This window comes from Homo sapiens, chromosome 6, assembly GCF_000001405.40.
Source record: "Homo sapiens chromosome 6, GRCh38.p14 Primary Assembly".
In the NCBI taxonomy this organism is placed as follows: Eukaryota; Metazoa; Chordata; class Mammalia; order Primates; family Hominidae; genus Homo; species Homo sapiens.
In genome coordinates this window covers 156,743,989-156,765,585 of record NC_000006.12, presented here as the reverse complement: position 1 = coordinate 156,765,585, position 21,597 = coordinate 156,743,989, and the positions used below count along the sequence as shown (strand labels likewise).

At 40.4% G+C, this 21,597-nt stretch overlaps 3 annotated features.

Moving 5' to 3' along the window:
* Nucleotides 12,458-12,557: an enhancer, noted in NCBI's record as "active region_25317". NCBI's record gives its function as "activates an Ori minimal core promoter by ATAC-STARR-seq in GM12878 lymphoblastoid cells {active_cell/tissue: GM12878}" and the evidence as "EXISTENCE:reporter gene assay evidence [ECO:0000049][PMID:35858748]".
* Nucleotides 12,748-12,817: an enhancer, noted in NCBI's record as "active region_25316". NCBI's record gives its function as "activates an Ori minimal core promoter by ATAC-STARR-seq in GM12878 lymphoblastoid cells {active_cell/tissue: GM12878}" and the evidence as "EXISTENCE:reporter gene assay evidence [ECO:0000049][PMID:35858748]".
* Nucleotides 15,885-16,085: a silencer, noted in NCBI's record as "peak6246 fragment used in MPRA reporter construct". NCBI's record gives its function as "represses an SCP1 promoter by STARR-seq MPRAs in K562 erythroleukemia cells {active_cell/tissue: K562}" and the evidence as "EXISTENCE:reporter gene assay evidence [ECO:0000049][PMID:32103011]".

Below are 21,597 nucleotides of genomic sequence, written 5' to 3'. Positions count from 1 at the left end.
GGCGAATGGACCAGTTAGTGGCCACCGGTGACTCTGTGAGTCTCAAAATTATTTTTCCCCTTCCCTGATTTCCCTGAGACCATTCTAGCTTCTTCCACACTTTCTGTTTCCTTCACCAACTTCTTGTCCTCCTAGCCACAGCCTCCCAACCCTAAGGCAGCCCCTATCTGCTCCTTTTCTTTCAGGCCTCACTGCCCCGTGGCCCTCCAGTCCACCATGGTGCCCCTCAGGACGGCCCTGGCCTCTCCGCCCTCACCCACTGTTGCTGGTTCCTCTCTCTGTGCCTTGGTTCGTGTCATTCCCCCAAATGTCCAGCCACTGCTCCCAAGTCAGGCTCACTACTAGCCCTCTCTGAGAAGCGGTCCTTGACGAATTCCACTGCTAACCCCTGCCCCACCGGGCTTGCTCACGCCTCTCCGCCTTTACGTTTGCTGCCTCCTGTGTTCTTTCCCATTGCTTGTTAAGAAGCTGCCATCTTTCCAAACTCGGCCCAAATATCACTGGCCTTTGTGAAGCCCTCCTTGATCACAGTTCCCACACGCCCTATGGAATAGTCACCTCAGAGCTATGAAACCAGCTTGTGGGCATCACGATCTTAGCCTTTATTGTATTATGGTGTAAATATTTGTGAGTGTTCATGTCCCAACCCCAAAAAGGGTGCTCCAGAAGGGCACCCCCACATTTTTGCATATCCAGGGCCTAACCTAGGACCTGGTCCTCCACTGAACGAATGACCTCTGAAACCAGTTAGAGCAATACTGGGGCAATGCCTGCTCCTCCAAGCAGGGGACCAGTGTGACTGATATATTTGAGCTTTCCCGACACTTCCTGAGCAGGCACAAGGCCCCTATGCATGAGGATATGTTCTTAGCAATCAATCCATTATTCTTTTCTCTTCTGTTTTGCTTTCTTTCTTTCTTTTTTTTTTTTTTTTTTTTTTTTGAGACGGAGTCTCTCTCTGTCACCCAGGTTGGAGTGCACTGGCACCATCTTGGCTCACTGCAACCTCCACTTCTCAGATTCAGGTGATCCTCCTGCCTCAGCCTCCTGAGTAGCTGGGATTACAGGCATGCACCACCACATCTGGCTAATTTTCATATTTTTAGTAGAGCCAGGGTTTCACCATGTTGGCCAGGCTGGTCTTAAACTCCTGACCTCAAGTGATCCTCCCACCTCGGCCTCCCAAAGACCTGGGATTACAGGTGTGAGCCACCGAGCCCGGCTGATCAATCCATTATTCTAGGGAAATTGAGCAGAATCCTCGTGTCACAACGTGGGCAATGACTTCAGAACATCACTTGCTGGAGCCATATTTTTTCAAGACACATGCCAGTCACTCTGCTCGTCTGAACATACTGCAAGGGTGGTCTCTGCAGGAGGGAGAACGTGAGGCGACCACCCTCCTATGCCAGTACTCTGCTCTCGTAGTTAGGGAACCCCAAGCCCACAGGGCCTCCCCAGGAGCCCTACTTCTGAAATGTGGAATTTTGCCCTGGGACATTATAGAAGAAAAGTTCTCTGCTCCACGTAGCAAGAGTCAAAGAACTAGAAACAGCCATCATGGATTGCTTTAATGATTTCCAGATATCAACATGGGGAAAATTTCTAGACAACATGGGGGAAATAAAAGTTGTACAATGCAGAGCACATATATAATTTTTAAATGGCATGCAAAAAGGCTGTGTGGCCACCCTACAGACTTGAGATTTATTTATTTTATTTTATTTTATTTTATTTTATTTTATTTTATCTTTTGAGACAGAGTCTAGCTGTGTCACCCAGGCTGGAGTGTAGTGGCTCAATCTCAGCTCACTGCAACCTCCACCTCCCGGGTTCAAGAGATTCTGCTGTCTCAGCCTCTCAAGTAGCTGGGACTACAGGCACATGCCACTGCACCCAGCTAATTTTGCATTTTTAGTAAAGACAGGGTGTCACCATGTTGGCCAGGCTGGTCTCGAACTCCTGGCCTCAGATGGTCCGCCTGCCTCGGCCTCCCAAATTGCTGGGATTACAGGCATGAGCCACCGTGCCCAGCCTTGGGATTTTTTTAAAAAAATAACTAAAACCCCTGTTGAAAATGCTTTTTCTCTATACTGCCAAAGAGCTCAGACTATTACAATTATTAGATATAGACATTAGATATTTCCTTGCACTACAGAGAAATAAAGTTATTAGCATGATGGGTCTAAAAATAGGCTATTTGTAGCTGAGTTGTGATGTATTTTCTAGATACTTTGTTTTAATTTCTAACTTTGTTAACTCAAGTATAAGATGCTATATGTTATATGCTTCTTGGCATTACATTATTCGGTCAGGATCTGATTTAATTTCTTTTATAATAAACAAATAAATCTAAAAATATTTTATTTATCATCTCCAGCAAGTTCCCCTACGCTGGCTCCGGGACCAATAGTCAGCTAACGGGGCTTCATTAGGGTGACATGCAGTGAATTTCCAAAGCTATGTCTAGATGCTTTGAGAATGGACACCCGTTCTCCTTTGCCACTGCTCCTCCAGTTCTGTGCTGTACCTTCAGCCAAGGCCCAGTCTTCACTTTGTCCAACAGTTTTGCTAACCACATCCTTGTCTTGTTTCTTAGGATTGAGCCCCAGCCACTGAATCCTGCCTACTCTATTCTCCTGAGCCTGGGGCTCTTCTTTGCTTTTGCCACAATGTCTATTTTATCCTTCCACCTCCGTTGGGACTGGGATCTGGTCCTTCAACTCTTGGTTCATTGCTGTCATCTTGTTACCTGCTGAAAACTGTATATGATGCTGCCAGCCTGCCTGGATTGCCAAATATCAGCTCCCTGCTTATTGAACACGCCCTGACGCCTACTGCTTGCATTGACAGTTCACATTAGTCAAGTGCTCGCGGTGTGACAGGGCACAGTGCCATGGGCTCTGCATTTGTGACCTCATATGATCTTCCTAAGGATCCTATGAGGTAGATAATATCTCTGTTTTACAGGTAAGCATACTGGAAAATGTGAAGTAAAAGAATTTGTATCAGGTTGCTGGGTGCGGTGGCTCACGCCTGTAATCCCAGCACTTTGGGAGGCCGAGGCAGGCAGATCACCTGAGGTCAGGAGTTCGAGACCAGCCTGCCCAACGTGGTGAAACCCCGTCTCTACCAAAAAAAAAATACAAAAAATTAGCCGGGCGTGGTGGCGGGCACCTGTAATCCCAGCTACTCAGGAGGCTGAGGCAGGAGAATTGCTTGAACCTGGGAGGCGGAGGTTGTGGTGAGCTGAGATCATGCCACTGTACTCCAGCCTGGGCGACAAGAAACTCCATCCCCCGCCGCCCCCTCCAAAAAAAAAAGAATTTGTGTCAGGTTATACAACCAGTAAAGGGAGAATCTGAGATTGGAGGAGTCTCAAGCTGGTTCCCATTCTGGGGAAGCCCTGCGGCCGCAGTCTACAGGTCCCGGGTGAAGCCTGCGCTGAGGCATCTCTCACCATGGCCTGGGCTGAATTTGGTGCTGTCGTTTTGTCCCCAACTCAATAGATGGGTCCAATTCGAGGGTCACATACTGCCAGGCTGTTCTGTCATAATTGGCTCTTACATTTTTGACTCACACCACAGCATATCTAGGACTACCAATAATTAATAATGGGAAATGCTAGGTATGAAGAACAGATATAAAAATGTATTTATATTTGGTAAAACTTTATTAGATTTTATTCTTCCCTCCCTTCCTTCCTTTCTCACTTCCTCCCTCCCTTCCTTCCTTTTTTCCTTCTTCCTTCCCTCCCTTCCTTCCCCCTTCCCTTCCCTTCCCTTCCCTCCTTCCTTTCTTCCTTCCTCCTTTCTTCTTTCCTTCTGTATAAGAGAAACTTTTGTGTTTTTTTTTTTTTTTTTTTTTTTTTTTGTTGTTGTTGTTTGAGACGGAGTCTCACTTTGTCGCCCAGGCTGGAGTGCAGTGGCACCATCTCGGCTCATTGCAAGCTCCGCCTCCCGGGTTCACGCCATTCTCCTGCCTCAGCCTCCGGAGTAGCTGGGACTACAGGCGCCCGCCACCATGCCCAGCTAATTTTTTGTATTTTTAGTAGAGACGGGGTTTCACCGTATTAGCCGGGATGGTCTGGATCTCCTGACCTGGTGATCCGCCTGCCTCGGCCTCCCAAAGTGCTGGGATTACAGGTGTGAGCCACCACGCCTGGCAAGAGAAACTTTTAAAATGTCTTCTAAGATCTTAGGAAAGTTATATCATCTAGAAAAGAGATGTTCATATTCCACTGAAAGTCCATTGTGAGAAATTTTCTCACACATTTTGCTGTACTGGCAGTCTTGTGTTCTGTATAGAATTTGTTTTAATATAATTTATTGCAAAAGCTTTCTGAAGGAAGCAGGAACCATGAGAAAAATTTTCAAATAATATACTGAGCAAAGTTTGGTGTGACAGTTCTGCAGAATATTTTCTATTTTCCTCTCACTTTAGAATTAAGTATTTTTAAAAATCTTTGACTTAAAGAAAATCAGTACATACATATTGGCAGATCACATAGAGAAAAACTTTTTTTGAGCCTCAATAATTTAGAAGTCATGATTGTTTGAATAAGGACAAGGTAAAGTAAATGTATTAAAGAGTAGAAGAATTAGAAATCACTCAGCACAGACATCCTCATACCCAATACCTCTCGCAAATACACATACACATCCTCACACCCGAGACACATCACACATCACTATATAAGGTGAGAATCCTCAGCTGCTAAACTAACAAAAAAGTTGCACAAGAAAAAACAAATTGGGCCAAGGCCCACAACAACTCTGGGACCCTTGAGAGCCAAATATAAATCCACACTACAGGAGTCAAATTCATAAATACAAAAATTAGCCGGGCATAGTGCATGCACCTGTAGTCCCAGCTACTTGGGAGGCTGAGGCTGAGAATCGCTGGAGCCTGGGAGGCGGAAGTTGTGGTAAGCCGAGGTCATGCCACTGTACTCCAGCCTGGGCAACAGAGCAAGATTCTGTCTCAGAAAAAAAAAAACAAACAAACAAACTGAAAATACAAAAGAGAGGTTAGGAGGCCTGGAGGACAGAATGAGAAGTACAAAATAACTATACTTTTATTGGCATTCCAGAAATACAACTGTAGTGACATTCAAAGAAACAATGGGGGAAGAGTAATACTGTAACAGTTCATGTATTGTATAGCTGCTCCAGACAGAAAACTGAAAATTATGCACAGGGAAATTATTAGAATTAACAAGAGAATTTAGCTGGATAGATGCAAAATAGACATACATTTTTCTGGAAATGAGTATTTTTTCTTCTGAGTTTTTAATTTTATTGGCATAAAGTTGATTAAAGCATTCTCTTAACCTTTTAATTTCTGCTGCATCTGAACTTATGACACTTTTGTCAGTTTAACAATATTTATTTTTGCCTTTTCTTCTTTTGTTTTTTTGAGTAGTCTTACCAGATATCTACTTTTTTAGACTTTTCAAAGAGCAGTATTTTGGATTCCTTGAGCATTTCTATTATTTATGTGTTTCCTATTTAATTGACTTCTGTTTAATTGATCTATTATTTATATGGTGGTTATTTATTTGGTTTCTGCTCTCATCTCTATAGCAGTCTTCATCCTACTTTTTTGTGATTTTTTTTTCTGTTATTCTTTAACACTCAAGTTTGAAAACACAGCTACTTAATTTTCAGCCTTTAAGCATCAAGTCTATAAATTTCTCAAAAAGTACCATTTTTCTACGTCCCTTAGTATAGCTGTGTATATAAGTGAGATGGTAGATAAGAACATACTTATAAAAACAAACAAGAGTAGAATACATAAGGGTACTTAGGACTTAACACTAATACATCACGTCACACACAAAAACCAACTCTATGTGTATTAATGAGCTATATGTGAAATACAACCCTACAGAAACTTTAGAAGTTAGTCTGGGAGAATACTCATCTGAACTTAGGGATGTAAACATTTTCTTAGACAGGAAACAAAAATTGAAATCCACAAAGGAAAAATTGACAAATTGGCCTACATTTAAAATGAAAACATCTATTTATCAAAAGACACTCTAATGAGAATGAAATGACCAGCCACAGACTAGGATGAGATATTTGCTAAATGTGTAATTGTCAAGGGATTAGTCTCCTAAACATGTAAAGAATTCTTACAAATCAATAAAAAAGACATCTATTTTCACCAAAGAGTCAAAATAATTACACAAGTGTTTTATAGATGTACAAAATGTCACTCACTCATTAGCAATCAGGAAAATACAAATTAATTCTGCTATGAAGTACTGTTACACATCCACAAAGTTTGCAAAAATGGAAACCTGACACTACTGTGCGTTGAATGGGATGTGAAGCAAGACAATTTCTCATATATTGTTGATGGAAGTGTAAATTAATTGTCACTCTGGAGACCAATTTTGCTATGTGAAAATGCACATACATACTCTATGACCTAGCAATTCCACTCCTAGGTGTAAACTCTAGAGAAACTGTCCTGTTCCAGGAGGCATTTATGAAAATGCTTAAAGCAGCACTATTCTTTTATTTTTATTTTTACTTTTATGTTTTGGAGACAGAGTCTCACTCTGTTGCCCAGGCTGGAGTGTAGTGGCATGATCTCTGCTCACTGCAACCTCTGCCTTCCGGATTCAAGTGATTCTCCTGCCTTAGTCTCCCGAGTAGGTGGGCTTACAGGTGCATGCCACCACGCCTGGCAAATTTTTGTATTTTTAGTAGAGATGGGGATATTTAGTAGAGACCATGTTGGCCAGGCTGTCTCAAACTCCTGACCTCAAGTGACCTGCCTGCCTTGGCCTCCCAAAGTGCTGGGATTACAGGCATGAGCCACCGCGCCCAGCCCAAGCAGCACTATTCTTACTAATAAAAAAACTAGAAGCAAATCTATGTCCATTGACAACAGAATGAATAAAATATGGGTGACAGAATACTATATAGTAATGAGTATGAATAAATTACACCTGTGTCCATCAATGCACGAGAATCTGAAGAACATAATTTTGAGTGGAGAAAACAAAGAAAAACACAGCTTTAGTCAAATGATATACAGTTTAAAACATGCATAACTATATTTCTTTGTGAAACTACAAGGAAATGATAACTATCGAATTTAGGATTATAATGGTCTCCAGAATGGAAACCAGCGGGTCTAGGGAGGCGGACAAGGAATTCAAAAGCAATGGTGTGGCTTTGGCACTCTTTTCCTACACTTGAGGGCGAGGACATAGGGGTTGTACTATTATTCATTTTTTGTTTTTTCCATTATACTTTATACCTTACATATTTTTAAAATATTGTTTTGTATCTTCTCAGTATTTATTAAAAACAATTAAAAAAATAAAATGCTAAAGAGTGACACTTTTCCAAAATTGAAAAAGGACATAAATCCTCAGATTGTTGAAGTGCCCCCAGGCCCTTGCAGGTTAAATAAAAACAAATTCAAAACTAGACATATGAGAGTGGAACTGCAGAGCACCAAAGACACAGAAAAGACAGGGGGTAAAATAGGCTACCTTCAAAGGAAAACGTTCAATTCTGTACAACAGTGACACACCCCAGAAGTGACATAACAATTCTAGGTGCTGAAAGGAGGGAAAACCCCTGGATAGAATTCTTTTTTTTTTTTTTTTCTGGGACAGAGTCTTGCTGTATCACCAGGCTGGAGTACAGTGGGGCGATCTCTGCTCACTGCAACCTCTGCCTCCTGGGCTCAAGCAATTCTCCTGCCTGAGCCTCCTGAGTAGCTCGGACGACAGGCACACGCCACTATGCCCAGCTAATTTTTGTATTTTTAGTAGAGACAGGGTTTCACCATGTTAGCCAGGATGGACTCAATCTTTTGACCTCATGATCCACCTGCCTCGGCCTCCCAAAGTGCTGGGATTACAGGCATGAGCCACTGTGCCTGGCCAAGGGAGGAAAACCCCAGGATAGAATTCTTTATCCAGCCGCTTTATTCAAGAGTGAGGGCTAAATGATCACCCTATTAGAATTCACCATTAACAGACCTTCACTGGAAGAACTACAAATAAACAGTCATGTGTCGCTTAATGATGGGCATACATTCTGAGAAATGCATCGTTAGGCACTTCCATCTTTGTGTGAACATCATAGAGTGCACTTACACAAAGCTACACAGCATAGCCTACTCCACACCTAGGCTGTGTGGGACAGCCTGTTGCTCCTAGGTTACACACCTGTACACCATGTGACTGTGCTGAACACTACAGGCAACTGGAACACAATGCTAAGTATTTTGTGTATCTAAACATAGGAAAGATGACAGCAAAAATACAATTTAAAAGATTTTAAAATGATTCACCTGTATAAGGCACTTACCATGAATGGAGCTTGCAGGACTGGCAGTTGCTTGGATGAGTGAGTGAGTGAGTGGGGAGTGTCTGTGAAGGCCTACGACTTTACCGTATGCTACTGTAGACTTTATCAACACTGGACACTGAGGCTGCATTCAATTCATTCATTTCTTCAATAATAAATTAATCTTAGCTTACTGTAACCTTTTCACTTTATAATCTTAATTAAAAAAAACTTTTAGACCTTCTTTCCTTCCTTCCTTTTTCTTTCTTTCCCTCTCTCTTCTCTCCCTCCCTTCCATCCTCCCTTCTTTCCCTCCCTCCTTCCCTCTCTCCCTCCCTCCGTCCCTCCGTCTGTTCGTTTTCTTTCTTTCTTCTTTCTTTCCTTTTCATTTTTTCCTCTCTTCCCTCCCTCCCTTCCTTGCGTCCTCCCTTCCCTCCCTCCCTCTTTCTTTCCTTCCTTCCTTCCTTCTTCCTTTCTTTCTTTCTCTTTCTTTCTTTCTTTCTCTCTCTCTCTTTCTCTCTTTCTTTCTTTCCCTCTCTCTCTTCCCTCCCTCCCTTCTGTCCTCCCTTTCCTTCCTTCCTTCCTTCTTTTCTTCCTTCCTTCCTCTCCTTCTCCTTCTCCTTCTCTTTCTCTCTCTCTCTCTTTTGCTTGGATGGGTACAGTGACTCACACTTGTAATCCCAGCACTTTGGGAGGCCAAGGTGGGTGGATCACCTGAGGTCAGGAGTTCGAGACCCGCCTGGTCAACATGGTGAAACCCTGTCTCTACTAAAAATAAAACAATTTAGCCAGTCATGGTGGCATGCGCCTGTAATCCCAGCTACTTGGGAGGCTGAGGCAGAAGAATTGTTTGAACCTGGGAGGTGGAGGTTGTAGTGAGCCGCGGTTGTGCCATTGCACTTCAGCCTGGGTGACAGAGCAAGACTCTGTCTCAAAAAAAAAAAAAAAAAATTCTTGCTCAGTTGCCCAGGCTGGAGTCCAGTGCTGCACTCATAGCTCACTACAGCCTCGAAATCTAGGGCTCAAGTGATTCTCCCACCTCAGCCTCCCAAGTAACTGGGACTACAGACACGTGCCATCAGGCCCAGCTCATTTTAAAATTGTTTTTAGAGACTGGAGGTTCTCACTTTATTGCCCCAGCTGGTCTTGAACTCCTGGCTTAAAGCCATCCTCCCTTCTCAGCCTCCCAAAGCACTGGAATTACAGGCATGAGCCATTGTGCCTGGCCTTTTTTGACTCTTCTGATAACACTTGAAACATGAACACAGTAAAGAGCTGTTCAAAAATATTTTCTTTCTTTATATGTGTATTCTATAAGCTTTTTTCTTTTCGTTTTTTTTTTTGATACAAGTTCTCACTCTTGTTTCAAAAAACGTGATACAATGTATCAAAAAACAACCTACAATAGTGATGTCTTGTCTGGAGTGCAGCAGGGCTTTTATGGTTCACTGCAGCCTTGAACTCCGGGACTCAAACAATCCTCTGGGCCGGGCACAGTGGCTCACGCCTGTAATCCCAACACTTTGAGAGGCTGAGGCGAGCGGATCACTTGAAGTCAGGAGTTTGAGATCAGCATGTCCAACATGGTGAAACCCCATCTCTACCAAAAATACAAAAAAAAAAAAAAAAATTAGCTGGATGTGGTGGTATGCACCCATAATCCCAGCTACTCGGGAGACTGAGGCAGGAGAATTGCTTGAACCCAGGAGGCAGAAGTTGCAATGAGCTGAGATCGCACCACTGCACCCCAGCCTGGGTGACAGAGCGAGACTCCGTCTCAAAAAAAAAACCCAAAACAAACCAAAACAAAACAAAAAAAGCAATCCTCCAGTTTCAGTTTCCTGATTAGCTGGGACTACAGGTGTGTGTCACCACACCTGGCTAATTTTTAACTTTTTTTGTAGAGACGAGGTCTTGCTTTGTTGCCCAAAGCTGGTCTTAAACTCCTGGCCTCAAGCCATCCTCCCACTTTGGCATCCCAAAGCACTAGGAATCCAGAGGTGAGCCACTGCACCTGGCCAAGCTTCCTTTCGTTACTTTTTTAAAACACTTTTAAAATGTTGGCCAGGCGCAGTGGCTCATGCTGGTAATCCCAGCACTTTGGGAGGCCAAGGCAGGTGGATCACCTGAGGTCGGGAGTTCGAGACCAGCCTGACCAATATGGAGAAACCCCATCCCTGGTAAAAATTCAAAATTAGCTGGTGTGGTGGTGCATGCCCGTAATTCCAGCTACTTGGGAGGCTGAGGCAGAAGAATTGCTTGAGCCCAGGAGGAGTAGGTTGCAGTGAGTCGAGATCATGCCATTGCACTCCAGCCTGGGCAACAAGAGCGAAACTCCATCTCAAAACGAAAACAAAAACAACAAACAAACAAACAAAAACACCTTTTAAAATATTGTTAAAAGCCAAGATACAAAGACATACACTAGCCTAGGCCCAGACAGGGTCAGGATCATCTACATCACTGTCTTACCTCCACATCTTGTCCCACTGGAAGGTCTTCAGGGGCAGTAACACACATGGAGCTATCATCTCCTGTGATTACAATGCTTTCTTCTGGATACCTCCTGAAGGGCCTGCCTGAGGCTGTTTTACAGTTAACTTTTTAAAAAATAACTAGAAGGCGTGCACTCTAGAATAATGATAACAAGTATAATATAGTAAATATAAAAGCCAGTCACATGTACTGTATATAATTGTATGTGCCATACTTTTATATGACTAGCAGCTCAGTAGGTTTGCTTACACTACAAACAAGTGAGTGATGCATTGCATTATGATATTACAGCAGCTGTGATATCACATGGGCATTTTTCAGCTCCATCACGATCTATGGGACCATTGTCATATGCGCAGTCCATCATTACGTGCTGCATGACTGTACTTGATCAATAAGGAAAAGGGACCCGGAAGAGAGATGGGAAAAATAAGGAGAAATGGTAAGCAAAGGAATTAAATAAACAGGTCAGGCACAGTGGCTCACACCTATAATCCCAGCACTTTGGGAGGTCAAGACAGGCGGATCACTTGAGGTCAGGAGTTTGGGAGCAGCCTGGCCAACACAGTGAAACCCATCTCTACTAAAAATGCAAAAATTAGCTTTGTGTGGTGGTGCATGCCTGTGGTCCCAGCTACTTGGGAGGCTGAGGCAGGAGAATCACTTGAACCTGTGAAGCAGAGATTGCAGTGAGCTGAGATCACACCACTGCACTCCAGCCTAGGTGACAGAGCAATATTTTGTCTCAAAAAATAAAAATAAATAAAAATTTTTTAAAATCTTTTTGAGTCAAGGTCTCACTCTTACCCAGGCTAGAATGCAGTAGTACAATCACAGCTCACTGCAGCCTCAAACTGCTGGGCTAAAGGGTTCCTCCCACCTCAGCCTACCAAATAGCTGAGACTGCAGGTACATGCCGCCATCCCCGGCTAATTTTGTAAAATTTTTTTGTAGAGACATACGATCTCACTGTGTTTTGCAGCCTGGATTTAAACTTCTGGCCTCAAGCAATCCTCTTGCTTCAGCCTCCCTCGTTGCTGGGATTACAGGTGTGAGCCCCTGCACCTAGTTCAGCAAACATGACTCGTAAAACAAAAAAAGCTGAGTTTGGCCCAAGTTTTGTGGGATCTAAAGCTTTAATAGTTTGGCGGGGGAGTGGGGGGGGGTGCTTTTTAAAGAAAGGAATACCAAATTATTAATAAATACTTAGGTACAAAAGTTTAGATTTACTGAGAATAAAAATAAAAATCACGACAATTTAAGTTGTAGTTAAGTGCCTCAAAACATCACAAAATCCGGGACTAAAATACAAGCTTCAATTATTTTATTATAACCAATCCCTTTCTTTTTTATACATTTTATTCCTTACATTTTTTGGCTATATATTCTTTGATCACCTCTTAATGTGACAATAATTTCTAAGTATCATCTTCTATTTTAAAAAAGTAGAGAGATAAGTCTGTCTTGTAAGGATAGATTAGTCTTCTAACACAGTAGGTCAATATTTGTGGTTTGTTGGTTTGTTTGTTTTTAGAGATGCGATCTTACTATATTGCCTAGGCTAGAATGCAGTGGCTAGTCACAGGTGTGACTGTGGCACACTACAGCCCCCAACTCCTGGTGTCAAATGATCCTCTTTGCCTCAGCTCCCGAAGTAGCAAAATTTATTTGTTTTTAATCAGTCATAGTTGAGAAAAGTTTATTTTAGCTTCACAATTTGTTATTGGTAGTCGAGGGGAATCCTCAGACATAACTTCAGCCCTTTGATCTCACAGTCACAGCAAGCTGGTCAAGGTCGACTGGGTTTTACCACACCCAGTATCCCTGCCACCCTCGGCCTTGCCAGGGCTGTTGTCAGGGGCAGAGCGTGTGCCAAAGGGACCATGAAGCCCGGTCACATGGCCCTGGGGCTGGGAGTAGAGCCGTGTCGCAGAATGTTTTCCTTGGGGAAGAGGCTGATGTCCTAAGGTTCAAGTTGTCACTGGGGCCTGGTACCCAACCCCCATGCTGCAGCTCCAGGACTACCACTAGGGTGAGCAGAGTGACCTCCAGGCTGGCAGAGCTGCCTTCCTCTAACTCTCCTGGGGCTACTTCTTCTTCCCGGACCTTGGAAGTGTCTTTGCAGACTAGGGAGCTGAAACTGAAATATCAGCTCCAAGGTAAATCAGACTTTTGCAGGGAATATGGAAAACAACTTTCATAACAGCAGCAATAATAGTAACAATGGTTAGAGGAACAACTGTTTCCCGCTCATATGTCCATAGAGAGGAGAAAAGGTCTACTCTAATCTCCTCAAGTGATAATATGAGAACACTGTGCACTTCTTTCTGCCTCCTCAACCATTCTTCCACCAGGCAGGAGGACTGCAAAGTTTAGAAGAAAGGCCTCAACGTGCTTGGCTCAGCCCCTACTGTTTTCTCTCCTTCAGAGCTGCATCTCCCAGAGAAGCTGCATTCTTGTCTGCGTGGTCTGTGCAAACAGCCTTATTGGGGACACTTGTTGTTGTCCCACTCTGCCATCAGGCATGAAGCCCATTTAATTCAGGAATACAGTATCAGCAAGCTCATCTGTCCACAGATCTAAAATCTCTCTCTGCAATCAGACCTACCTGAAATAAAGCTAACATTGTATTTTGATTTTCAACTCTCATTCTTGCCTGTTTCCACCCTTATTTCTCCATATGAATTCTAATTTCAAGACAGGAAGATAAGTTCTGTATATGAGATACCCTACAACTCTAATAATAAAGGCTAATTTAGAGAGATTTTCAAAAACTGGTAAAACTAACAAATTAGAGAACAATAACATGGGGAGAGAGAAAATGGAGCTACTGTTGAGCTTTAGCTTTTTTAAAAATTAAGCATGACATACTCAAAATTTAAGGGTAACTTCTAAAAGGAATAAAATACGTGTCTTTCAAAACACTGGAGGAGGAAAAAAAGGCAACAAACTCAAGAAATGCAGTAGAGAGCAGGAAAAAGTAAAAACCCAAATAATAAGAAAAAATATGGTAACTAGAAAACATAAAATAAGATGATAGAAATAAATCCAATATAAGGAATCCTCATAAATGTAAACATGAAACCACCTGTTACAAATCAGAGATTATCTGAATTGAAATACAAATTTTATCTATGTTTTATGCTCTCATGTTCTTCAGAAACATAAAATACAATGATTCTTAAAATTTGAAGTAAACTTATTGAAAAATATTTCAGGTAAGTACTAAACAAATAAAGGTAATGAAACAATACCAATTATATGAAATAGAATTTAAGGCAATAATGTTAGGTATAAAAAGTCATTATTGACTAATAAAAAGAAGAGTTATCAAGAAAATAAAACAATCCTGAACTTGTTTGCACCCAACAATATAGCCACAAAAATATATAAAGATAAACAATGATAGATAAACTAAAAGAAATTGTTAAATTCCCCAATCATGGTAGGTTTTTGTTTTGGTTTTGTTTTTTGCATGGCTGATACAGAGTAGTTTTATTCTTTTTTTAAAAATTCCGGGATACATGTGCAGGATGTGCAGGTTTGCTACATAGGTAAACGTGTGCCATGGTGTTTTGCTTAATACCATCACCTAGGTATTAAGCCCAGCATGCATTAACTAATTTTCCTAATGCTCTCCCTCCCGCCATCCCACATGGTAGATATTTTTAACACATCCCTCTCAGAAACTGACATAGCAAGCCAATGAATAACTAGGAAATATAAAATGTCTTGAACAACACAATTAATAAGCACATTCTAGTGGACATATACAGAATCCTGCCCCCAATAATTAGAGGAAACAGATAATTAGTAGAGTGACCACAGTCTAGACACAACAAATACATCAACAAATACAAGCAGGCCAGGCACAGTAGTGCACACCTGTAATCCCAGCATTTTGGGAGACCAAGGCTGGCAGATCGTTTGAGCTCAGGAGTTCAAAACCAGCTTGGACAACATGGTAAAAACCCTATGTCTACAAAAAATGCAAAAACATTAGCCGGGTGTGGTGGTGCGGGCCTGTAGTCTCAGCTACTCAGAAGGCTGAGGCTGGAGGATCACTTGAGCCTGAGAGGTTGAGGCTGCAGTAAGCTGAGATCGTCCCACCGCACTCCAGCCTGGGCGGCAAAGTGAGACCCTGTCTCAAAACAAACAAGCAAACAAACAAACAAACGAACGAACAAAACCCAAATACCAACGTATTCACTTCCTACAGAGCACACTTCATATTACATACAATGCAATGTAGTCAGAAATGTAAAAACCAAAAAAATAGTTTAGAAATTCTATCATTTTAGCCAGGCGCAGTGGCTCACGCCTCTAATCCCAGCACTTTGGGAGGCCGAGGCGGGCAGATCATGAGGTCACGAGTTTGAGACCAGCCTGACCAACATGGCGAAACTCCGTCTCCACTAAAAATACAAAAATTAGCCGGGCGTGGTGGCGGGCGCCTGTAGTTCCAGCTACTCGGGAGGCTGAGGCCGGAGAATGGCGCGAACCCGGGAGGCGGAGCTTGCAGTGAGCCCAGATCGCGCCACTGCACTCCAGCCTGGGCGACAGAGCCAGACTAGTCTCAAAAAAAAAAAAAAAAAAAAAAAGAAAGAAGAAAAAAAAAAAGAAATTCTATCATTCTAGAAACCAAAAGCACTTCAAAATAGATACTTACATAGATATATAGATGGGTAAACTATATGAAAAGGCAATTCGATCGATAAATAAAAGATGACGAGATCGTACTATAAAACCAACGTCGGCTGGGCGCGGTGGCTCACGCCTGTAATCCCAGCACTTTGGGAGACCGAGGCAGACGGATCGCAAGGTCAGGAGATCCAGACCATCCTGGCTAACACAGTGAAACCCCGTCTCTACTAAAAATACAAAAAAATTAGCTGGGCGTGGTGGCAGAAGCCTGTAGTCCCAGCTACTCCGGAGGCTGAGGCAGGAGAATGGCGTGAACCCAGGAGGCGGAGCTTGCAGTGAGCAGAGATCGCGCCACTGCACTCCAGCCTGAGCGACAAAAAAAAAAAAAAAAAAAAAAAAAAAAAAGCCTACAATCCACTAGTACTTTTATTTGTTGTCTTGTTTTTATTTTACTTACTTTGATATTGTTAATCCATTTAGTATTTGTTTTGTTATATGGTAGGAATCTAAATTTTTCCTCCTCCAAACGGTTAACCAAATGTCTCAACCTTTATTGAATATGTCATCCTTTATTTCCTGATACAAAATGCTCTCTGTAGAAAAACCTAAATTCTCTTATGTCCATGGATCATTTTTAATTCTCAGTTATGCGATGTTGATCTATACATCTATTTTTCTACCAATTCCATTGCTTTAATTATTCTAGCTTTTGAATAGTGTATAATAACTGATACGGTATATTCTTCCTGATAAAATTTTTAAAAGATTCTTTTCCATAAATAAATACAAGTTCACCATTTAAGATGAGTTTTAGAGTAATTTTGTTTTGTTTTATTGAATATTTTAGAGACAGGATCTTGCTTTGTAAGTTAGGCTGGAGTGCAATGACAACATCATAACTCACTGCAGCCTTGAGCTTCTGTGCTCAAGCAATCCTCCTGCTTCAGCCTCCTGAGCAACTAGTACTACAGGTGCATGGCACTTTGTTTGGCTAATTTTTAAATTTTTTGTAGAGACAGGGTCTCACTATGTTGCCCAGGCTGGTCTTGAACTCTTGGCCTCAAGAGAGCCCTGTACCTCAGTCTCCTAAAGCTACTGGATTACAGACATGAGTCACTGTGCCTGGCCTTTAGAATGCTTTTAATGTTCCAACAAAACAAACAAAAACACATAAATCCACCACAATTGAGACTTTGATTTGAATTTCATTATACTTTTGGACTCATTTGCAAATATTTAACACTTTTTATTATTGACTCTTCCCATTAATATTTAATATCATATTTCTTCTTATTTTCAAATGAAGTCACTTTGATCTTTTTGCTGAGATGTTAGCAGACCCTTGAAATTAAGTCATGAAGTCTCTTGTACATGTCAATCATTTTGTTGAGAATGAGAAAGTCATAAAAGCGGCCTTTGCCTTCACTATGCTTACATTCCACAAAAGATAATGAAGCTCTAGGGGGTTGACATAAAGTCAAGTAAAACAGAAATAAAACTCCCCATACTTTATTACTATAAATACACTGTTCTGTACTTGAATTCTGCAAAGTTGGCTGAGAGGACAAGTGACAATAAGAGCAGAATGGGATTGATCTGGAGTGGTAAAGGAGATGGTGAAAGGCATTGCAGATGGCAGAAATGGCATTTGGATTAGAGAAAGCAAATCACGAAGCAAATTCGCATGTGCTCTAGGCTAGCAAAGATCATGTGAATATACAATTATCTTTTAAAAGAGGAATGAGGGAGAAGGAAACCAATTGCTAGAAAACCTTTCAAGATGAAACATCAATATAGGTTTTATGTGAGCAAAAATTTAGACCTATTGTGTCTTCTAAAAATGAGTCTGAAATAGAAATGATGCTTAAAAAAGATATTCCTGCTGCAATGGACAAATTTGGAGTAAGGAGGTAGTTAATAGTCTGGTTAGGGAATTGGTGCAATACTTTAATATGGAATTTAATTTATTTACTCAATACTTTTCATAGAATATTACTCACTATGTGCCTAGCACTGTGTTAGCATTAAAATGACATTGTTTGCATCTGAAATCTATTTTTACAGTCTTCACAACAGATGTCTAATGACACCACTTATAAAGAGGGGGAGACATACCCCAGGTACTTCTGTACTTTGTTCAACAGAAATTTAACTGCCCAAGTGGATGCGTGATTGATGTTACTCAATGATTAATGCAGCAAACTCCCTACTTTACCCGCTGCAGCAGAAATCTCCGTTTAAGCCCTTGGGATATGTAAGTGCCTCATTTCTTAAGAAACTACAGTGAGATTAGGGAGAGAGGAAGGCTTCACAAAGCAATTAGGAAGAGGGCAGTTTAATCCATCCTCCTCCTTATTGCAAAGCAGCTTTAACCAAGGTATTGCCTACTAAAATAAACTTTAATCTACAAAGGAGTTTGCAAGAAAATTTGATCAAATAGGAAAATAAGAGGAATAAATAAAACAGCTATTGGGACAACCTATTTCTCTGCTGTTTTATTTCTTTCAATGTACTGAGACTGATAGCAGAAAATCTCATTGAAATAAGCATTTCTAAGTGCATCACAGTTGCTTTTCAGTCTGCAAAAGCCACTCTCCTGTAGCATGAATATTTTATTTTTTTCTCACCATATAACTGACATCTACATGATGTGAAGCAAAATACTTTGGGTTCTTGTTGTTGCTGCTTTTTAGAATTGGAAGAGTTATTTGGAAATAGGTCTACCCCACAAAAGAGAGCTTAAAAATGTTCGTTTCTTTTTGTGCCATTAATTCCTCTCTGCCTTCCCTTACTTGTAATTAATGGCTGTTAAGTGAGACTGTATGAGAGGAAATAAAAAAGTGCTGCATGTAAGTGTAGGGTTTTTTTTTTTCTTTTAATAAAAGCACATTTAACTTTTGTTTTTAAAGCCCACTTTGGCCCTCAGACCCAGTGATGCTAATTTTCTGAGCATCCTCTCTGACCTCAGAGGCATCTTTCTCTCTTTAGTCAAGTGTTAAACAAGAGCCTCTCCACCAGGAATGCCACGGGGGAGAAATGAAAAAAAAAAAAGGGACTGATAATATTCCTACTCTAGTTCCTAAAAGCGCATATATTGTGGTTCCCAGAAGACTGAGAGACATTGAAACCAAATATTGAATCTAGGTAAAAATGACTTTCACCATAAGCTATAAATTATATAAAAAATTATACATGCTTATGGCAACAAACAAGCAAACAAAGAAACCCAACAGAACAACAACAACCACAAAACCAGAAAAAAAGAAAAGAAATGGTATGTGATAGAACAATGTATAAAGCAAAAGTACTTCTCACTCTTCAACTCCTCAGTAAAACATTTATTTATTTTAGACAAATAGGGTTATATTATATATTGTTTTCCAGCTTGCTTTTTTTTGCACAAAACAATTTATCTTGGACATCTTTCTCTACCAGTACATATAGCTCCATCTCCTCCCTTTAAGCAGAGATATCCGTGACATAGAAGACACGAGATCCTGACTGCTGGACCTTCAGCTGGGTTTTGGTTATTTACAAAACAATGTTGCTGGGTGCGGTGGCTCATGCCTGTAATCCCAGCACTTGGGAGGCTGAGGTGGGCAGATCACTTGAGGTCAGGAGTTCAAGATCAGCCTGACCAACATGGTGAAACCCCATCTCCACTAAAAATACAAAAATTAGCCCAGCGTGGTGATGGACACCTGTAATCCCAGCTACTCAGGAGGCTGAGACAGGAGAATTGCTTGAACCTGGGAGGCAGAGGTTGTAGTGAGCTGAGATCACCCCATTGTACTCCAGCCTGGGCGACAAGAGTGAAATTCCATTTCAAAAAAAAAAAAAAAACCAATGTGATGATTATGCTTGTTCATGTGTAAAAAACCATAGGATAAATTTCTAAATGGAACTGGAAGATCAAAAGATGTGTTATTTCAATTTAAAAGTAAAATTTATAGGTTAACGTTTAATACATCCTGCCAAATTGCTCTGGAAGGAGGTTTTATCAACTTGCACTCCTAGTAATGGTACCAGAGAGGGCAGATTTCCCACTTGCAACAAATGTTTTCATCACTGGCAATATGAAAGAGGAAAATTCATTTCTCAATTTTAGAAATTTTCATATCTTCAATTATAAATGAGTTTGAACTTTGCATATTTTTATTGGTCAGGTTTTTTTCCCTACAAACAAAACTATCTATTATTTTTAAATTGACTTGTTTACCTTTTAATTAATGTGTAAGAACATTTGGATATTAAGGAAATTAACACCTTGTCATACAAATAAAAAATGTTTTCTCAAGAATGTATAATAAATAATCCATTTAAAAGAATAGTCCTAGTTTTATCAGTAGACTCCTTATCCAGGAGAAATTTGATTTAAAATCATTCCTATTTAAATCTTTCATTACAGAAACTGGATTTAATCAATTTTTCCAAAGAAAATGCATTCTTCTATTTGATGTAATCTTAAAATAGTTGTTTGATGTAACTTTAATACATAGTCATTACCTCCAAGATAGATTTATATTCAGAAAGAAGAAAAAAATTCGGAAAGAACAATGAAAAGTCAAAGAATAACGATGACCATCTTCATGTCTCATGAAACCTTTAGAATAAAATAAATTAAGAATATAAGACATAGAACATTCATGGAGATTTCAAGCTTTGCTCAGAACTTTGTTCTTAATTACTTTGCCAATTTTTTTCTTTATCATTTCTATGGCAATGTCCTCTTTAGAGGACATATTCCAAATTCCCTCTTTACTCACATCCTCTTTTCCAAATTATCTCACATATCTTCTGAAATGTTGTATTTTTTGAGGGCACCAAAGTTTGACTTAAAAGTTAATCACCATTAGATTCCATACACAATTCTATAGGAAGGTCATTGCCAAAGACTCAGATCACTGTACACACAGTTTATCAGCAGCTATGTCTTCACCTTGACTTAACTAATGCTCACAAAAGTCTTATCTCTGAAACAGTTTGAGTAGGAAAATTAGTGACAATAATGCTGGATGAAATAGCCTAAATACTAAATGCTGGTTTATGTGAAATGAAATTCTTTAATTTTTCTAAATCTCTGAGAATCACATCATTCTATGATTTAACCCCTAAAATTCTATGAACTTATGAGTCTAGGATTTTATATGGAAGTAACTATTTAACTATGTTTACAAACCACTGTTTCAGGTTCCAAATTGTTTTAGATGCTCAATGGCTTATTTTTTTTAAAACCATTAATTAGGTAATTAGTGGACTAATTTAAGAAATAAATAATTCCTCAAACCAAACAGGCTAGACAATTGCAGTCATAGTAATAAAGTAACTAAATTAAAATCAAATATAATTAAATATATTACAGAGAAAGTAATACGTTGCTAGGCTAGCATTTTTAGTTTATTTATTTTTTTCTTTTTTTTTCAGATGGAGTCTTGCTCTGTCCCCCAGGCTGGAGTGCAATGGCACAATCTCAGCTCGCTGCAACCTCTGCCTCCCGGGTTCAAGCAATTCTCCTGCCTCAGCCTCCTGAGTAGCTGGGATTACAGGCACCCACCACCACACCCGGCTAATTTTTGTATTTTTAGTAGAGATGAGGATTCACTGTGTCGGCCAGGCTGGTCTTGAACTCCCAATCTCAAGTGATCTGCTCGCCTCGGCCTCCCAAAGTGCTGACATTACAGTCGTGAGCCACTGTGCTTGGCCTGCATATTCAGTTTATATTTAAATACAAGTGAAGTAAGGCTACTTAATACATTATTTTAACATTGCAAAGTAGATTTATTATAATGTATGATGTTATTTTATTAATATTTATTTTTTCTTCTTTTTTTGGTCAAGGGAGATCAATGTATTTTGGTTTTGACTAAATTTAAAAAAGTAAACATATCAGAAGTTAGGCAAACTTTTGATATAAGGATTATCTGGAGGTGATAACATATACAGATCTTTTCATTTATTAAACAAATATCTATTGGCCACCTCTTGAGATTAACTTAGATAACAGCTAAATTAAAAAGCATTTGGAATCTGAGTAAAGACATATCAGGATGTTCTAAAATCCTTAGATATTCACCAAGCTTGGAAACTACTCAGAAGCCCCAAATCTGAAGGGATTTAATGCTGAAGTTTTTATTTA